The sequence below is a fragment of the Homo sapiens genome, chromosome 19 (genome assembly GCF_000001405.40).
Source record: "Homo sapiens chromosome 19, GRCh38.p14 Primary Assembly".
In the NCBI taxonomy this organism is placed as follows: Eukaryota; Metazoa; Chordata; class Mammalia; order Primates; family Hominidae; genus Homo; species Homo sapiens.
Genome location: NC_000019.10, coordinates 37928357 through 37948791, shown reverse-complemented (window position 1 = coordinate 37948791; position 20435 = coordinate 37928357). Strand labels below are relative to the sequence as shown.

At 47.1% G+C, this 20435-nt stretch overlaps 1 protein-coding gene across 7 annotated transcripts in view, besides 1 other annotated feature; it reads right to left on the bottom strand.

Moving 5' to 3' along the window:
• The window catches only part of SIPA1L3 (signal induced proliferation associated 1 like 3), a 301162-nt gene that overhangs the window by 259578 nt on the left and 21149 nt on the right, over positions 1 to 20435 (bottom strand). For 2 of the 7 annotated variants that reach the window (XM_047438487.1, XM_011526657.3), the window contains exon 1: positions 16100 to 16231. The exons of 4 other annotated variants lie outside the window; for them this stretch is intronic. The gene's annotated coding sequence lies outside the window, so the exon portion shown is untranslated. Of the gene's footprint in view, positions 1 to 15868; positions 16232 to 20435 lie in introns of those variants that run through there. One more of the 7 variants, XM_047438489.1, reaches the window with a different exon arrangement.
• Positions 15234 to 15896: an enhancer, noted in NCBI's record as "H3K27ac-H3K4me1 hESC enhancer chr19:38423536-38424198 (GRCh37/hg19 assembly coordinates)". NCBI's record gives its function as "activates a minimal SCP1, AML or CMV promoter by ChIP-STARR-seq in naive H9 embryonic stem cells {active_cell/tissue: H9 hESC(naive)}" and the evidence as "EXISTENCE:reporter gene assay evidence [ECO:0000049][PMID:30033119]".

Below are 20435 nucleotides of genomic sequence, written 5' to 3'. Positions count from 1 at the left end.
AGTAGCCTCCCTCAATCTCTAGCACTTCTCACTACATAACATTACGTCATGTATCTGTTGTATCTAGGATCCACCTGCCTTCTAGAATGTCAGCTCCAAGAGCGTGGGGGCCGTGCCTGTCCTGAGCCCTAACTGTGGCCCCAGCACTTGTGTGCCATGGCATAGGTGCTCAGGAAATACCCGAGTGGTATCTGCCTACCCACATTCTAAGCACACCTCCTGGGAACTTTCTTCCTACCTTTGGAAACAGAGGAACAATGACTAATATGTATGTGAGTGTTTACTATGTGCCAACCACTCTTCTTTTTTTTTTTTTCTTTTTTTTAAGACCGGGTCTCACTCTGCTGCCCAGGCTGGAGTGCAGTGGCACAATCACGGCTCACTGCAGCCTTAACCTTCCCAGGCTCAGGTGATCCTCCCACCTCAGCCTCTCGAGTAACTGGGACCACAGGTGCATGCCACCATGCCCAGCCAATTTTTGTATTTTTTGTAGATACAAGATTTCATCATGTTGCCCAGGCTGGGCTCTTCTCAGCACTTTACATAAACCAATTTAATCCACTGTGAGGTTTTTTCCCCCAGGATGAATTAATAGCCCCAGAACATTGCCTACTGCTGCTTGTTCTCAATTGTGCTTGATGTCAGCGTCTTCCCTGGTTTGGCCCAGCCATGGGGACAGAAGAGTCTTTCATGACACTTCCGCTGCCTAAGTGGCCACCATTAACTTAAGGGGATTCAGAAACATCCTGGTCACTGCCTAGCCAGGGCCCCGTGGAGGGGGCTCCTGAAGGATCAGACATCTGAGACGTCCACGCCTGCCAGCAGCCTCCACTGGCATCTGACATTGCCACAGAAGTCTTGGCCAGGGCAGAGGCAGAGAACAGGCCTAAAACATAGAACTCCAGCATAGGGAAAGTGCTGCAGGCTGTTACAGGTGGACAAAAGGGAGATTTGGCAAGAAACTGCAGGAAAAACTGCTGAAAACATATTACAAATAAGGGGGCTGGTTATTAAATAAATCTGCAATATTTCCAGCCAGGCTCTGCCCCATCCAAGCTGTGAAATGTCACGCAAGAAACGACACCTCTTTGTGCTTCGGTTTTCTTGCTGTGAATGGGAATATTATCAATCTGCTTCATTGAGTTACGGCAGGAGACTAGAAAGGTAAACTTGACAGACCAGGGCCTGGCTCACAGTAAGTTTGAGTTTCATATTAGTGGGAAAGAACGGATTATTTAGTCAGTAGGATAGGGACAACTCATTGACTACTGAGGTGGGGGAGTTGGACTTTTTTTTTTTTTTTGATATGGAGTCTCACTCTGTCGCCCAGGCTGGAGTGCAGAGGCGCAATCTTGGCTCACTGCAACCTCTGCCTCCTGGGTTCAAGCAATTCTCCTGTCTCAGCCTCCTGAGTAGCTGGGACTACAGGTGCCTGCCACCACACCCAGCTAATTTTTTGTATTTTTAGTAGAGACGAAGTTTCACCATGTTAGCCAGGATGGTCTCGATCTCCTGACCTTGTGATCCGCCCGCCTCGGCCTCCCAAAGTGCTGGGATTACAGGCGTGGGCCGCCATGCCTGGACGGATTTGTTTTTAAGAGACAAGGTCTCACTCTGTTGCCCAGGCTGGAGTGCAGTGGCGCAATCCCAGCTCACTATAATCTTGAACTCCAGGGCTCAAGCAATCCTCCCACCTCAGTCTTGCCAGTAGCTGAGACCACAGGTGTGCGCCACCACACCCAGCTAGATTTTTTATTTTTTGTAGAGGTGGGGTCTCACTATGTTGCCAAGGCTGGTGTCAAACTCCTGGCCTCTTGGCCTCAAGTGATCCTCCTGCCTCTGCCTCCCAAAGTGCTGGGATTATAGGCGTGAGCCACTGCGCCTGGCCCAGGAGCTAGATCTTTATCTCACAACCAATTCCAAAATAAATATCAGATCCTAGATGTAAAAACAAAGCCGTAAAATAACTAGGAAGAAAATATTTATCTCATCCTAAAATGAAAGCCAAAGCATACATAAAACAAGCAAAACAAAAAACACAAAGGAAAAATAGCTCTAACAACACAAAAATTAAGAAGCCTCTGAATGTTTAACAAAAAAAAACTAAAAGATAAACAATTTAGGAATATAAATTTGCAACATAACAAAATGATTCATATCTTCAACATGTAAAGAAATCTTCCACAAATTAACAAGAAATAAAAATACCCCCCAGAGAAATAGGTAATTAACTAGGAAATACATGATTAATAAACAGATACATATACAATAAACTTCACCAGAAATCAAATAAATGTAAATTATTAGTTACTTTGGTAACTTTTGGTTACCCAAATAGCAAAGATTAAAAAGCATTCTGGGCCATGGATGGTGGCTGATGCCTGTAATCCGAACACTTTGGGAGGCCGATGGGGGAGGATCGCTTGAGGCCAGGAGTTCAAGACCAGCCTGGGCAACAGAGCAAGACCCCATCTCCACACACACACACAAAAAAAAGTGTGGGGAGGGAAAGAAGCAGTGTGAGCCCAGCGTTGGTGAGGATCCAGGAAACCAGAACTCCTGTACTGGACCCTTCCGGAATACAAGTCAACAATAAATATCACAAGTCTTTATTATTATTATTATTTTTTTTTTTTGAGACAAAGTCTCGCTGTTGTCCCCCAGGTTGGAGTGCAATGGTGCATTCTTGGTTCATTGCAACCTCTGCCTCCCGCGTTCAAGCAATTCTCCTGCCTCAGCCTCCTGAGTAGCTGGGATTACAGGCGCTTGCCACCACGCCAGGCTAATTTTTGTATCTTTAGTAGAGACGGGGTTTCACCATGTTGGCCAGGCTGGTCTTGAACTCCTGACCTCAGGTGATCCTCCCGCCTTGGCCTCCCAAAGTGCTGGTATTACAGGCGTGAGCCACCACGCCCAGCCACAAGTCTTTAAAAATAGACACTCTGTTTCAGGAATTGCAACTCTAGGACTTTGTCCCAAGAAAAACTTAAGAAGCAAACAAATGATTTTTGTGTGTGAGATGTTCAGAGTTCCAATAATGAAAGATGGGAACAGCCAGTATGTTCAACAACAGGCAACAAATAGAGTGGAATGCTATGTAGCCATTAAAAAGAATGCCACAGACCTTGACCCACAGACACGGGGGGATCTCTTAAGCTAGACTACTCAAGTGTAATCTGCAGGACGGCATACCTAGAGTATGTCTATAAAACAAACTGCGGTACTCACATAGATGTATAATAAAAAAAAATAGCTGGCTGGGCGCGGTGGCTCACACCTGTAATTCTAGCACTTTGGAAGGCTGAAGTGGGCAGATTGCTGAGCTCAGGAATTCGAGACCAGTCTAGGCAAAATGGTGAAACCCCGTCTCTACAAAAAATACAAAAAAATATCAGCCAGGTGTGGTGGTACACGCCTGTAGTCCCAGCTACCGGGAGGCTGAAGCAGGAGAATCACTTGAACCTGGGAGGTGGAGGTTGCAGTGAGCCGAGATCGCACCACTGCACTCCAGCCTGGATGACAGAGTTTTGACTCTGTCTCAAAAAAAAAAACAACCTAAGACATGAGTACAGACAGTCTCTGACTTGCAATTTTTTGACTTTACCATGGCACAAATGGCTGCAATTTCAATGTACTTTGCATTTTGAACTTTTTCCAGGCCAGCAATAAGCAGTACATGAGATACTCAGCACTTTACTATAAAATAGGCTTTATGTTAGATTATTTTTCCCCAACTATAAGCTAATGCAGGTGTTCTGAGCACATTTAAGGAAGGCTAGGCTAAGCTATGATGTTTGAAAGGTGAGGTGTATTGAATGCATTTATTTATTTATTTATTTATGAGATGGAGTCTCGCTCTATCACCCAGGCTGGAGTGCAGTGGCAACAACCTCGGCTTACTCCAACCTCCGCCTCCAGGGCTCAAGTGATTCTCCTGGCTCAGCCTCCCGAGTAGCTGGGATTAGAGGGACCTGCCACCACGCCCGGCTAATTTAGTACTTTTAGTAGAGATGGGGTTTCACCATGTTGGCCAGGCTGGTCTCGAACTCCTGACCTCAAGTGATCTGCCCGCCTCAGCCTCCCAAAGTGCTGGGATGACAGGTGTGAATGCACTTTTGACTTAAGGGTAATTTCAGCGTATAACAGGTGCATCAGAACATAACCCCATCAAGGATCACCTGTACTTAACAAACATGCTAGGCACTATTCTTTTACATATTAATACATTAACAGGGTAAATCCTTAAAAGCCTATGAGGTTGGGATCATCACCATCATTTTAAAGATGGAGAAATCAAGGCACAGGGAGATTAAGTAAAGGCCCAAGTTCACACAGTCAGTACACAGCAATACTAGGACTTGAACCCAGGCACCCTGGCTCTTAACAAACAATCCACTGCACAGACCAAGACCTGGAAGTGTGCACTTAATATGCATCTGGGCAGGACCTGGGGGCAAAGCCAGGCCACTAGGTCAAGACAATGAAGCAGATCTTCATGCTTTTTTTTTTTTTTTGAGACGGAGTCTCACTCTGTCACCCAGGCTGGAGTGCAGTGGTGCGATCTCAGCTCACTGCAACCTCCACCTCCTGGGTTCAAGCGATTCTCCTGTCTCAGCCTCCCAAGTAGCTGGGATTACAGGCGCATGCCTCTGCACCTGGCTAATTTTTTTTATTTTTAGTAGAGATGCGGTTTCGCCATGTTGGCCAGGCTGGTCTCGAACTCCTGACCTCAGGTGATCCGCCCACCTAGGCTTCCCAAAGTGCTGGGATTACAGGCGTGTCCGGCCCATGCTTTCTCTACATACTGCTCTGCTGTTGGAACGGGTTACAGCCAGCGTGTGGCTTCTGTACATTTTAAAGCAGTAAAGATTTTTTAAAAACACTTTTAAAAAATTGATCAACATACAATCCTTGTCAAGAGGCCTAAACGCAAGCAGAGGCAGCACCAAACTCAACATGACTTTCCACAGGAGACCACGCTAAGAGAAGGAGGTCACACCTCTTCTGAGAGGACACCAAGTAAAGCCATTTGGCTGGCTGAGGTGTCACATACAACACACACCCTGTGAGTGGTGAGCTCCCTTTACAGCTGGAGTTCTGGAGAAGGTGATAAGGAGGATTTGATGGGTGAGAACACTTTCAGCCCAATCAGTTAAGCAGGCTCAGGGCTCAAAGTCCAGGGCCTAGATGCACACCTTATCTGGGCCTCGTGTAAAGTGGTCAGCAATCGAAAGTCCCCGTTTTCTGCCCTGTAATAATTACTGTCATAAAAGGTGTGTTGGAATCCAGGTTAGTGGGAATGGTGAAAAGGCCACTGATGTGGATTTGATCCCCTCTTGACTTCAGAAATGTATGACACTGACATTTGGCTCCTCCTGGACACAGGCTGTGTCAATACCATGAATTAACAGCTGTAGTTGGAGTGAGGGAGAAGAAGAGAGCGTGGTCGGACTGTGGGTGGGGCTATCCACGTTCCAATCCAGCCCCAACAGCCTATGTGACAAGGATTAAGGACTTCACTTCTCTGGGCCTCAGTTTCTTCGGGGTTGAAATGGGCATTAAGAGTCTACCATATGAGGGCTAGACGAGATGTGTGTAGTAGAAAACCTCAGCTCTTGGCCAGGCAGAGTGACTCACGCCTAGAATCCCAGCAACTTTGGGAGGCCAAGGCAGGAGGATCACCTGGTGCCAGGAGTTTGATACCAGCTTGGGCAATGCAGCAAGACCCTGTCTCTACAAAAAAAAAAAAAAAAAAAAGAGAGAGAGAGAGAGAGAGAGAAAGAGGCTGGGTGTGGCTCACGCATCTAATCCCAGCACTTTGGGAGGCCGAGGCAGAAGGATCACTTGAGGCCAGGATTCCAGACCAGCCTGGAAAACCTGTCTCTACTAAAAATACAAAAATTGAAAGAAAACCTCAGCCCATGTTAAAGGGGACTGGGGCTATCCTTACTACCACAAAATCCTGCAGACCAAAGCCTGAACCCGCTGGTAAACCTTTCAACCCACTCACCACCCAGCATGACCAATCCCTAAACAAGTTCTGTTGGGCCACCCACTTCTTGTCCCCATTGCCACCACTCTCATCCGGGACTCTACTTCTCTCCTCACTGCAAAACAGGCTGCCCCTCACTGCCCTACTTCCACTCCCACCTTCAATCTATGCTCCACGCCGTAGCCAGAGGGCATGGGAGGACACTCTGAATCAAACCCACACCCTCACCAGGCTCCCCCGCCACCCCCGTCTCCTGCCCTCCCCCTCCTTCCCACCCCCACCCCACACTCCTTCACACGTCAAACTCATTCCAGCCTCAGCGCCTTTGCACCTGCTGTTCCCTCTGCTGGGAAAGCTCTTCCCTGATCTTTCACAAGGCTGGCACCTTTGCATACCACTCCACTCTCAGCTGGCATGTCACCACCCCGAGGAGGCTCTCCCCCAACGACCCCAGTTTTCCAGCCTCCCACAATCCCTTCTACTTCCAGGCGTGTCTCTCTCGCCATTCTGCTTTCCTGACTCCACAGCATTATTCATCCCCATCTGGAATTATCTTATTAATCTGTTTACTTCTTCCTTGACTGTGTCCCCCAACCTAAACAATGAACTCCAGGAGGACAGACCTTATCGGGCTCCGTCCCCGGCACTGGAAGCATATGTGATGTTCAGTAAATATTTGCTGAATGAAGAAGTTAACAATGGAATGAATGAATGAGTTTGCACATCACTGCACAATAAATCTTCTGCCCCCAGGAGGAATGTGTTGTAATCTCTAGCAGCAAAGAGGCCCTTAGATATCGTGCAATATAATGAATAACTGATCCCAAAGCATCTAAATGATTTCAAGCGTGCTACTGCTCTCAAGAATTTATGACCCAGACAACAGTGGCTGGGGTCAGGGCTCGCCCCTGGCCAGGTTACCAGGGCTTGCCTCTGCAATGGAGTAGAGCCCTTTATTGTTCTTTTGTCTAGGAATGGAGTTTCAGATCAGAAGAAATCCAAATACTCAAAAACCTCTTGCCCCAAGCATAAAGGACTAATTCCTTGGCGTAGAGCAGGAACTCACCAAAGACTATAAGGTCTGACAATGCACGACAGGGGAAAGAGAGAGAAAGATGGGAATGTCCACAGTCTCATTACTTCGACAAACACCCGCAAGGCCCCACCCGGTCAAAGGTAAGGCCTGGAGCAGCCGTGCCCACACAATGAGATGACTGGACTGGTTCATCTGTTTATTGGCAAGCTCAGGACAGGGTATGAGCAGTGGTGGAGACCGGCAAATGTCAAATGAATGAACATAAAAACAAGGAAGATTTGAATCTCTGCAGGAAAAAAAAAAAAAAAAAACACACAACAGATTAGAAACCACCAGCCCAATTGTTCAATAGTCATTTCTAAGGCAAACAAAAGTTCAAAAGAGCCAGTACCCTCAGGATAACTGAATAATAGATGAGGGGCAGGTTCTCTCTAGAGGAATAGTCCCACTAATAAATGAAGAGGTGGACAGAATTACAACAGCACAATTTTTGTACACCCCAAATGAAATAATGGCTCTGAGCAATGGTCATCCACGGCCACTAACACCAATACAGAAAGGGGCCCCCAGCTTTACATCCCTAACGGATACACAGCAACACCTAGGAGGACGGCTAGCCCTGCCTGCCAAAAAAGAAACAGTGTGTGTGTGTGTGTGTGTGTGTGTGTGTGTGTGTATGTGTGTGTGTGTGTACATCTCAAACCTGAAATTCACCTACTCTGCAAATCCAATGATTCATTTATAGGAAACACAGAGATAGAAGAATAAGTTAAACACTGCAACAGGGATATGATCGGTCAGATCCAGGCCTGATCATATACAGGACAAATGACATGGCCTTTCTGAACATATAAACTGCAAGAGAAAAACAAAGAAAAATCAAGCCAGGTGTGGTGGCTCACTCCTGCAATCCCAGCACTTTAGGAAGCTGAAGTGGGAGGATCCTTTGAGGTCAGGGGTTTGAGACCAGCCTGGCCAACATGGTGAAACCCTGTCTCTACTAAAAATACAAAAAAATTAGCTGGGCGTGGTGGTACATGCCTATAATCCCAGCTACTAAGGAGGCTGAGGTGGAGAATCGCCTGAACTCGGGAGACGGAGGTTGCAGTGAGCTGGAGGGAGGGAGAAGCCATAGATTAAATGAGGCTTCACACGCAGATGAACCAACTCCAATGGTGAGCCCTGTTGGGTCCTGATTGGAACAAACCAATTCTAGAAAGATATTTATGAGATGATCTGAGATGTTAACACTGTGCGGATACCAGATGATGTAAGCAATTAATGTTAATTATTGTCATGATTAAAATGGTCTTCTCATTATGTCTTTAAAGAATCCTTATCTTGCAGATACTCAACTATTTAGCGTTAAAATAATACAGTAGAGGGTGGGTGGTGGTGGATATAGAAGAAAACAGAGTGGTCATGAGTTAGTAAGAGGTAAAGCTTTTTTTTTGTTTTTTTTTTTGTTTGTTTGTTTTTAGGCAGGGTTTTTTTTTAGCCTGTCACCCAGGCTGGAACGCAGCGGTGCAATCTCGGCTCACTGCAGCCTTGACCTCCTGGGCTCAAGCAATCCTCCTGCCTCAGCCTCCCAAAGTGCTGGGAGTACAGTTGAGAGCCTCTATGCCCAGCCTCCTTTATTTTTCTTCACACCCCTTATCTCTGACGCACTAAGTAACTGACTTGCTTACTATCTAGCTGCTCTTTTAAAATACGAGCTCTGCAAGGGTGGAGACCCCGTTTGCTTTTCCATTACTCTCTTCCCAGTTCCCAGAATAGTGCCTGTACAAAACAGGTGCTCCATAAATATCTGTGTAATTAATCAAAGAACCAAAAGTGGGGAGGGCATCATCTACAGGTACCATCCTGGTGTCTGATGGCTCCTTTCAGCTCCACTAGGGAACACCTCAGAACTAGTGACATTACCGGCTGCCTACTCCAATATTGAGTCTCCCCTTTTCACTTAGCAATCAAATCTAAATTTTAGCTAAGAATAAGGCCATGGGAAATAAAACTACATTTCCCAGGTTCCCCTGCAGCTACATATAGTACTGAGATTAAATTCTGGGCAAAGGTGTAAGCAGACTTGCTGTGTACAATTTAAGTCTCCTTTTTTCTTACTTGCCTCCTGGGACGTAATGGCTAGAGCTTGGGCAGCTGTCTCATACCATGAGGTGGCAGGATACAGGTGGTGGAGCCAGAAGGTGGAAGCAGCCTGGGTCCCTGATGAGAACACAGGCTCGCCTGTCTATTACGGGGCTCCTTTACGTGAGAGAGAAATAAGCTATCTTGCTTAGGCCACTGTCACTTTGTTGAAACTAAATTATATGCGGTTGAAACTAATCCTTTTTTTTTTTTTTTTTTTTTGACATGGAGTCTCACTCTGTCGCCCAGGCTGGAGTGCATGGTGCAATCTCGGCTCACTGCAGCCTCCGCCTCCTGGATTCAAGCAATTCTCCTACCTCAGCCTCTTGAGTAGCTGGGATTACAGGTGTGTGCCACCATGGCCAGCCTGTAGTTGAAACTAATCCTAACAGATACATCTGATACCAAAATGCAACGGCACAGTGGGTAGAACAGGTATAGTCAGTCATACATCTGTACTAACATATACAAATGCCCAGAAGTTGAGGACTGTTTCAAAGAGTGGATCACTGTGAGCTGGAGGTACACAAAAAGGTATCATGGAATTGGGGGGAGAATAGCAGGGGAAAGAAAACAACTACAGAAAGGATGACCCGAGGATCATAAACTTTTATTAGGTTAAATAGGCTGCCACCCCAGGATTAGTAGCCACAGTATATAAAGAACACCTACAATTCAATAGGAAAAAGAAGCAAAAGTGGCCGGGCACTGTGGCTCACGCCTGTAATCCCAGAACTTTGGAAGGCTGAGAAAGGCGGATCACCTGAGCTCAGGAGTTTGAGACCAGCCTGGCCAACATGATGAAATCCCGTCTCTACTAAAAATACAAAAATTAGCTGGGTGTGGTGGCAGGTGCCTGCAATCCCAACTACTCGTGAGGCTGAGGCAGGAGAATTGCTTGAACCCAGCAGGTGCAGTTGCAGTGAATCAAAATCACACCACTGCACTCCAGCCTGGGTGACAAGAGTAAAACTCCACCTAAAAAAAAAAAAAAAAAGAAAAAAGAAAAAAAGAAAAAGAAGCAGATGTGATGAGCAAGCAATATCCAGAAGGAGAAACATGAATGAAAAGATATTCTGCCTTACTAGTCTTCAGGGGTAAATTAACCACAATGAGATTTCATTTCCTATCCACTAGGCTGGCAAAAGTAAAAAAGTTTTACAAAACCAAATGTGACAAGGATACAGAATAAAAGAAACTCATCCTTGGTGGGATGTTTAAAGAGCAGCTCAGTAATATCTGGCAAAGCTAAAGATGATCACAACCTACAATCCAGAAATCTCATGTCCAGTACATACCTGAAAGAAATGCTTGTCCATGTGCACCAGGAAGTGTAACAATATTCACAGCAGCCTGTGAACAGCAAAAAATCTGAAAACAAAATGTCCATTGGCATGGAAATGCCTAAAACAAAAACATGGTATATTCAGCCAGTGGAATACTCACATGGCAGTAAATAAAAATGCATGAGTCCCAGTGGTACCAGTCTAAATCAATGTTAGAATCATAATATTAGCTGAAAAATGCAAGTCTCAGAAAACTATGTACAGTATATCTTTTTCTTTTTCTTTTTTTGAGGTGGAGTCTTGCTCTGTCGCCCAGGCTGGAGTGCAGTGGCACCATCTCAGCTCACTGCAACCTCCGCCTCCTGGGTTCAAGCAATTCTCCTGCCTCAGCCTCCTCAGTAGCTGGGACTACAGGTGCGCACCACCACACCCAGCTAATTTTTTTGTATTTTTAGTAGAGATGGGGTTTCACCATGTAGGCCAGGATGGTCTCAATCTCTTAAGCTCATGATCTGCCCACCTCAGCCTCCCAAAGTGCTGGGATTACAGGTGTGAGCCACCGTGCCTGGTCTTTTTTTTTTTTTTTTTTTTTTTGAGACAGGGTTTCACTCTGTCGCCCTGGCTACAGTGCAGTGGCACGAACCAGGCTCACTGCAGCCTCAACCTCCTGAGCTCAAGCAATCCTTCCTCCTAAGCCTCCTAAGTAGCTGGGACCACAAGTGCATGCCACCACACCTGGCTAATTTTTAAAAATTTTTTTGTAGAGATGAGGTCTTGCCATGTTGCCCAGGCTGGTCTCAAACTCCTGGGCTCAAGAAATCCTGCTGCCTCAGCCTCCCAAAGTGCTGGGATTACACACATGAGCCACCACACTCAGCCATATTTTGATAAAGTTCAAAAATCATTCTTTTAAAGCAAAGAATAATAAACACAAAATTCAAGATGGTGGTCACTTCTGAGAGAGCAGGCAGGAAAGTGAATGGGAAGTACCACATAGGTACATGTAAGTTACTGGTAATATTCAAGTTCTTGGGCAAACAGTGGGCTAACGGCTGTTCATTATGATAGATGAATATTTTTTTCATGGACCAAAAATGCCAGTGTATCATGCACCACGCATTATGATTAATCCAATTCTGTGTGTCCAAAGGCCATCTTTAAAAAGTTAATACAGGCCAGGTATGGTGGCTCACGCCTGTAATGCCAATGCTTTGGGAAGCCAAGGCAGGAGGATCACTTGAGCCCAGGAGTCTGAAACCAGCCTGGGCAACATAGCAAGATCCCATCTCTACAAACAAATGAAAAAAATTAGCCAACCATTCTATTCCAGCCTAAGTGTCACAGTGAGACCCAGACTCTCAAAAGATTTTAAAAATTAATGCATTTAGAAAGAGGTGAGGAAGAATATATACTAGGTTACTGACAGATGAGACCAATGAGGCAGGAAGCAGGAGTGGAGGGGATGGAGTAGTAAGTGGTTTTTGTTTCATGTTTTATTCTGCTGTCAATTACATATTCATTTCAACAAGAAATGTTTCCTGTAATTAACCAAAGCAGTATAGCCAAATGGTTCAGTACATGCCTCCAGAGCCAGACCAGGAGAGACTGCATCTCAACTCCACCATGCCCTTGTCAGAGGAAATATGGCAAGTTACTGAACCTCTCTGTGCCTCTGTTTCTGCCTCTGAGAAGAGGGGGTGATAACAATGCCCATTTCATAGGGCCACTGTGAAGATTCACTGAGTTGGCTTATGAAAAGTATTCGTAACAGTTCCTCTACACAAGGTAAGCCCTTAATGAGACTGGCTACTATTCTTATCATTAGACTAACTTCGAACACTGATATGAGAGAGGTGAGCTCAGCAATGATCTGGTCAATGTCTGCAAATAATCCTGCACACTCTTACAGTCTTTGGGAGAAGCCCAGTGCCCTGCCCATGCCAGGAATTTACTAAACAGTTGATAAGTGAATGTATGCTGTCTCTGTTTACCCACCACTTCTGTGGCTGTCTGGATGGAGTGCTGGCAGGTGAATGCCCAACATGTCCACTCTCCGTCTTCTTCCTTATTGACCCTTTGCTCAGGGTGGCAATGGGCCCAACTGAAAAACTGTAGATGTCCTTGCAGCAAGGAGTGGCCATGTCACAAAGTTCTAGCCAAATAGTCACAAGCAGACGTCTGCTAAAGATTTCAGGGAAGGCTTTGGCTTCTTGATACAGGTGCTGTCTCCTTTCCTTAGAGCCCTGGTTCTGCCTGCCCATCACAAGGATATCAGGCTGGAGGTAGAGCAACCATTTTATGAATATGAGGCTAAGGATGGTGACCTGGAGCAGCAGAGAGAGGGTAAGGTGAGCGTCACCTTAGCCTGCTGAGCTCTGCACTTCTTACATGAGAAAATGAACCCCATGGTAGCCAGGATAGAAAGGTGCCCACAGTGGACCACACCTCCTGGAACTTGTTTTGTGATATCCCTCCCATACTGAATCTGGGCTGACTCTTCAACTCACATTAACTAACAGAATGAAGTAGAAGTGATGTGGAGCCAGTTCTAAATCTATGCCTTAAGAAGGCTCACAAAAGCCCTCAGCTGCCGTGTTATAAGTCCAGCTACAGGCTGGCCAGGCCACATGAAAGGAGAGGTCCCAAGACTATGGACAGACATGGACCCAGCCATTCCCAAGGTGCCATTTCAGTAAAGCCATGTTGAATGTTCCAACCCCATCCACCCTCTGACTGCAGCCACATAACAGACCCCAAGCAAGACCAGCAGAAGAACCATCCTGCTGAGCCCCAGTCAACCACAGGTTCACAAGAAATAAGAAACTGCTGTCATTTTAAGGCCTTAAGTTTAGGGGTGGCTTGTGGTGCAGCAATAGACAACTAGAACAAATCTCTATCTGGGTACAACGCTGTACAAGTTTCCTGAACACAAGCATAGTCCCTAACTAAAGTGCCACCTGAAAAAGAAACACACAATCAATCACAAATCCCAACAAAAATCTCTTGCACATTCTGATTTCCAACCAAGATTGTTAATATGAAAAAACATGAACTGTCCTTTCACTCTTATTTCATAATAAGTACATTAAACACAACTAATCTGGCTAAGTGTGATGAATCTATTAATTATTCTAATAATAAAAAAGCATTTAAAAAATGCTTTTTGGTTCAACACAGTGCTGGACTTGGTGAGAACCCTCCAAAAATACATCTTCTATCTGGACGAGAGGCATCATTGCACTACTGTTACTTCATATTCATTCTCAAAGGCCTAGAACTTAACAAGGTGGCCAAACAGGTTGGACATCTGCAATCTAATTAAAGAAGGTTATCAATAAAAATAATAATTTGTGGGAAAAAAAAACTCTAGGAGAAAAGGGAATGCCTATCAGTGATGTCTTGGCCAAATCAATTATGGTGCATCCACACCACTGTGTGTTACGCAGCCACTAAAAAGAGCAAATCTCAGCACTATGCAAGGACTCAGAGGCATTCCACATGGCACTGCTATGTGAGAAGAGCAAAATGCAAGAAAATAAGTGTAATATTATCTCCTATAGGATTATATAACCATGGAGAAAAATGTGGAAAGATACATACAGTCCTTGATTGTTACCATGGGTGAAGGATTGCGGGAGGATGCTGACACAGGGGTGGAACCAGGGTCGGGGGTGGGCACAAAAAAGGACAGACCGAAAATATTAAAAAGGGGCTTGAAAAGAATTCTTAAAAAGAATTGTCTTTCTTAAATCTAATTTGCTATCTATGCACTAGACACAGCACTGAGTCACCTGATCTCACTTTGACTTCTCGTTTAATCATCTATTAATTATCCCCATTTTCCAGATAAGGAACCTGTGGCCCAGAGAACTACTGTGCCCACAGTGTTGGGGCTCAGGCATTACATGAAATAAGTGTAATAGGAGAGTCCTCAACTCAACCCCAAACTCCCGCACTGGGAGCTCAAGGGACATATGTGTTAAATGTTGCAGAAGAGCTTCCCTCCTGCTCTGCACATTCTTAAAATAGCAGCAGGTCCTGACATGCGATGATGTATGCTACAGCGGCGCGAAGTCCATCAGCACCTCAGTCCCCTGGTGCCTCATGCTGGGAGAAATCCAAGAAGGCCACTGACCTCACTCATGGAGCTCAGGGAAGCCCTGCCCAGGATATTTTTACAGAATCAATTGCTGACACCGGGAGCTAGAAAATAGATGAGGACGTGTCAGCTATTACACGGTCAGATTCTTCGCGCTCACCATTTAATTAAAACTTGTTCAGCCCCAGAGCAAGAATTATTACCCATTAAAGCAGGGGAGATGGCTCAACTGTGCCTGGCTGGTTAATTGCTACTTCCCAGGCACTCCCTGGCCTCCCCCTGCAGGAACAGCAAGCAGGGGCTGGAGATACATATGAGATGTGTGTATATGGGTGGTATCTTCCACACAGTCTTCTCCACCTAAATGAACCTGACATCCTCTCCACTTACTAGGCCAAGCTTTCCTGTTCCATGCCACAGGCACCCAGGCTGCCCAGATGAGTCACTACCAGGCCTGGGCTGCACAGACTGCAGGGGTTGCAGGACAGGAAGGCAGAGGGCTGGATGCTGCAGGCAGGTGCCAGAGAGCCACTGGGTGACCAGGGGGAGGCATCTGCACATGCCGCCTCACCCACAGCCACAGGTTCCTGGAAAAGCTGACACCCTCCTCAAACCCCAAACGGGGCTGGCCACCCATCCTTGGATCATGTTGCACCTGATATAAATTCATTCATATCACAATTTAGCCCGCATCTACCACGTGCCAGGAACGGTTCTACAAGGATGGACACAAAAGTGCCTGTGCTTCTATGGAGCCTAGAGCTGGGAAGCAGAGCATAGACAAAATATGTCAAGTGGAAGTAAATGCTATGAAGAAAAATAAAGCAAAGAGTAAGGGCGAGGGTGAGGGAGAAGGTGCAATTTAATAAGGAGAGAGGCCTCATGGAGAAGGTGACATCTGAACAGAGACTTGAGGGAAGGAGGGAGGGAGGCGGCGCTGGGGAATTCTAGGGGAAGTGTTGCAGGCAGAGGGAACAGCCAGGGCAAAGTCTCCGAGGGAGGAACAGCAGGAGGCCAGTGCAGCTGGGGTACAGCAAGCAAGCAGCTGAGAGGTCACAGATGAGGTCACACAGGGAAAATGGGGGCCTGGGGTTGGGGAGGGGGGACTTGAGCACCGCTCAGTGCCCAGGCTTGAAGCAGTTTACATAGATGACTCATTGGGCACTGCTGCTAGTTCCCATTTCACAAGAAGAGGAAACTGAGGCCCAGAGAGGAAAGCGGACTCAGGCGAGACCACAGAGCTCATCTACACCAGGCTGGGATCGCCCCCAGCCCCGGCACAGAAGTCTGCATCCAGCAGGAGCTCAACTCACTAAAAGAGTCACCGATTCCTTCTCTTGGGAGAAATGTCCTCCATTTTTCTCAGTCCGTCAACACCCGGCCCACTCTTTCTTCACAGTTAGGAGCAGACAGGTAAACATTTCAGGGAGAAGAGGGGGGAAAAAAAGAGAAAACAAAAAAAGCTAACTGTCTAACTCCGGAGAGGAAGAAACATGATGAACTTTCTCTGCAAGTCACTGCCAAATTTAATGAATATCGCTCACCTGAAAGACTCCCCGAACACGGCTCTGATCACAAAGTGGGCAGGTGGCTGTCAGGGGAGCCCCAGGTGGACTCCTCCTGTCCCTGGTCCTCCCAGGGCGAGGCCACCTGCCTTGGCTCTCCAGGCCGACCTCAGTGGTGCCCGCCCCCAGCCCGCTGTGGGTGCCTGGAATGCGGAAACGGGAACCTGCCGTGCCAGCTCCTAACAGCGACTTATTCAACAGCCGCAGGAACACGCCAGCCAGCCACCGGAGTTCCCCAGGAGATGGCTGGTCGTCGTGAACAGGCGCGTTCCCAAAGAAAGCTGTTTTGCCAACATTCCCTTTGGGGGAGGGAAAGAAAAGGCCTCCTTACTCATCAGACACGTGGTCTGAGGAGTCTGAATGGGCTTGAAAGAAAGCTCAAAGGTAACAAAGGCGGCTCGCCTATTACCTCGGATTCAGGCACAGGCCACCTGTTCACTGACAGAGCCAGGGCTGGACTTGTGCCCACACCGTCCCCTGCCCTGAGCTTGCGCCTGGATGCTTCATTCAGAACCGTACAATCTAAAGGCGGGCTCCTTGGCCCGTGCAGAGGAGGCACTAGCTCACAGAGGCAATGCAGCTTAATGATTAAACACGGTCGCTGGACTCTTCCAGCCAGCTTTGGAAGCACAACTGAACGGCTTTGGCTGGCTAATAATAACAACCACAACCGGAATGCTCACTGCACAAGGCGCTGTTCTAAGTGCTACATATGAATTCTCTCTCCTAACCCTCACAGCGACCCTCTAAGGAGGAACTATCAGCATTCTTATTTTACAGATGAGAAGTTCAACGAATAAGTCATAGGCTGGAGGTCACACAGGAAGAAAGTGCTGGGGTGGGGATCTAACCCAAGCAGAGGAGCTCCAAGGTTCCAGTTTTTACCCACTACTTTATTTATTTATTTTATTTTATTTTGAGACAGAGTCTTGCTCTGTCACCCAGGCTGGATGGAGTGCAGTGATGCGATCTCAGCTCACTGCAACCTCCGCCTTCTGGATTCAAGGGATTCTCCTGCCTCAGCCTCCCAAGTAGCTGGGATTACAGGCGTGCACCATCACACCCAGCTACTTTTTTTTTTATTTTTATTAAAGACGGAGTTTCAACATGTTAGCCACGCTGGTCTTGAACTCTCAACCTCAGGAGGTCCACCTGACTTGGTCTCCCAAAGTGCTGGGATTACAGGCATGAGCCACCGCGGCCGGCCTTAACCACTACTTTAGATCTCCTCTTGTAAGAAGAAGCAGGTGCTCCCACTGGGCCTCAGTTTCCTCATCTATGAAATGGGATGAAGAGTCAGTGAGAGCTTTATTATTATTTTTGTAGAGACAAGGGTCTCACTGTGTTGTCCAGGCTGGTCTTAAACTCCTAGCTTCAAGCGATCCTCCCTCCTCAGCCTCCCAAAGCGCTGGGATTACAGGCATGAGCCACTGTGCCTGGCCAAGTGAGATCTTTATGGTGAGCACTATGCTTGTGGCTCACAAAAATGCTCAACAATCAGCTGCACTTATCACATGCTGCCCTCAGAGTCAGTCAGGTCCACTTTATTCCTTCAAAATACCGAGTAATCAGCTCAGGTCAGAGTTTAAATTCCAGGCAGCTGAAGGAAAAGAAATTAAGAAAGGCTCTTACCATCCTTCTTTTCATCCACACACACAAATGTAAACAATGTCTATTCTGAGTCAGGCACTGGGACACAGTAGTAAACAAAAACCACATAAATCCTGCCCACAGGGAGCTTATAGTCCCCTGTGAATGAACTGGCACAGAATATTCAAAGATTAGCTGATACATATTGTATGAGTGCTGCTTTGGGTCGGGTGCTGTTGGGGGTTGGGGGGGAGGGGTGTCTAAGCATGTCACGTGCTTTGATGCATTCGAATCCTCCCAACAACCTAGGAGGACAGTACCATTACCAGCTCCACCTTACAGATACGGAAACTAAGACATGCAAGGCTAAGTGGCTTGCCCAAAGTAAAACAGGGAGCCCAAGATGGATCAAGAACTTGCACTCAGCAGTCTGGCTCAGAGCCCACACTGCATTCCTCAGCCCTTTGCAATCTCAAAGGGCAATGGCTTTACAGTGTGGCCACGAGCAGTAGCAACAGGTATCCTCAGGAAATTTCAGTCTGCAAAAGGGATGGTCACTCTTCATAGATTTTTTTTGGTAAGGGGGTGCAGGATTATAAAATATTTATTATAAGTCACATTTATGCTGGGCACGGTGGCTCACACCTGTAATCTCAGCACTTTGGGAGGCTGAAGTGGGAGGATCGCTTGAGCCCCAGGAGTTCGAGACCAGCCTGGGCAACAAAGTGAGACCTCGTCTCTATGAATGATTAAAAAATTAGCCAGGCATGGGCTGGGCACGGTGGCTCACGCCTGTAATCCCAGCACTTTGGGAGGCCAAGGTGGGAGGATCATGAGGTCAGGAGATCGAGACTAACACAGTGAAACCCCGTCTCTACTAAAAATACAAAATAGCCGGGTGTGGTGGCGGGCGCCCGTAGTCCCAGCTACTCGGGAGGCTGAGGCAGGAGAATCGCTTGAACCAGGGAGTCAGAGGTTGCAGTGAGCCGAGATCGCGCCACTGCACTCCAGCCTGGGAAACAGAGTGAGACTCCAACTAAAAAAAAAAAAAAAAAATTTGCCAGGCACGGTGGCATGCACCTGTGGTCCCAGCCACATGGGAGGTTGAGGCGGGAGGATTGCTTGAGCCCAGGAGATCAAGGCTGCAGTGAGCCATGATTACACCACTGCACTCTAGCCTGGGTGACAGAACAAGACTGTCTCTAAAAACAACAAACACATACATACATACATAGATACAGACATACATACATAAAAAGTCACATTTAATATGTTAATAGCAGAGGCCACGTTCTTAAGTACTTACCATGCGCTGGCCCCTGGGGGTAAGCACTTGACTGGCATCCTCTCCTTTCATCCAAGAACAGCCCTCAGAGGGGGAAACAGCCTTTGCAAGGAAGGGTAGGAGGAGGGGGGAGGGAGTCAGGAGCAGAGAGATGGGTGAGACCCAGGTGTTTCTGGGCAGAGTGAGTGAGTGCTCTCAAAGACCTCGCACTCTAACCTTCAGACTGCTGCCTCATCACCCAACTCAAGTTTCCCTGAATTGCCAGACAGAATACTTGGTATTCCAACAAGATTCAGAGTTCTTGTGGTACTGGGACTTTGTGCACAGTTTCAAAGGTGGGCATGATTAGAGAACAAAAAGCTAAGTCCTGATTCAGGTAATTACAAAACAAAGCTGGTAAGCACGATGACAAAAATGCATGGGCATTATGCTTTCCCTGTGTTCCACTTATTTCTGCAGCAAAACCAATTGTCTGCCTACCCAATATCCCTCCCCCTTTCCCAGTCCTTTCCTAAATGGTACTCTGATTTCATTCCTGTAGCCACTCTCCTCCCTGTGCTACCTACTTCAGGTAAGGCTGGCCCCGGCTCCAGCCCCAGCCCCAGCCCCAGCCCCAGAGGGTCAATCCTAATTGGCCCTTGGCTGGTTTCTCTGGGCAGGGTCACATATCACCATGCTGGCCAATGAGATATGAGGGAAATCTGGGAGGCAGGGAATCAATGAAAGGTTTCCTCACTCTTAAAGAGATACACAGCAAGTGAGAGATGCCCTCTTTCTGCTGCTGGATGTGGCACTGTCAGTGTGTGCCAACTGGAGCCTTGGCAGTCATCTTGTGGCCATGCAGGGAGCCTAGGGACACAGGAGACACACCATGGATGGCAGAGTGGCTTGAAGGAGAGGGATGGGGTCCCTGCAGGCATTGTGGAACTGCTTAGTCAACTCCTGTGCTGCTGTGCTGCCTACCTACAGGCTTCTTTGTTATATGAGATCATAAATCTCGTTATTTCAGGCCAATTTCATTTGGGCTTCCTATTACAGTAGCTCATGGTTCTCAAAACGTGCTTCCTGGACCAGGGGCACCAGTGTCACCACAAAATGCAAATTCTCAAGCTAGACTTACAGAATCAGGAACTTACAGAATCAGATGGGGCCCAGCAATCTGTGTTTTACCTAGCCCTCTGGGGATTCTGATCCTTGCTAGGGTTTTTTGTTTTTTTTGAGACGGAGTCTCACTCATTCTGTTGCGCAGGCTGGAGTGCAGTGGCATGATCTTGGCTCACTGCAACCTCTCAGAGCCTCCCAGGTTCAAGCAATTCTCCTGCCTCAGCCTCTCGAATAGCTGGGACCACAGGTATGTGCCACCACACCCGGCTAATTTTTGCATTTTTAGTAGAGATGGGGTTTTACCATGTTGCCCAGGCTGGCCTCGAACTCCTGGCC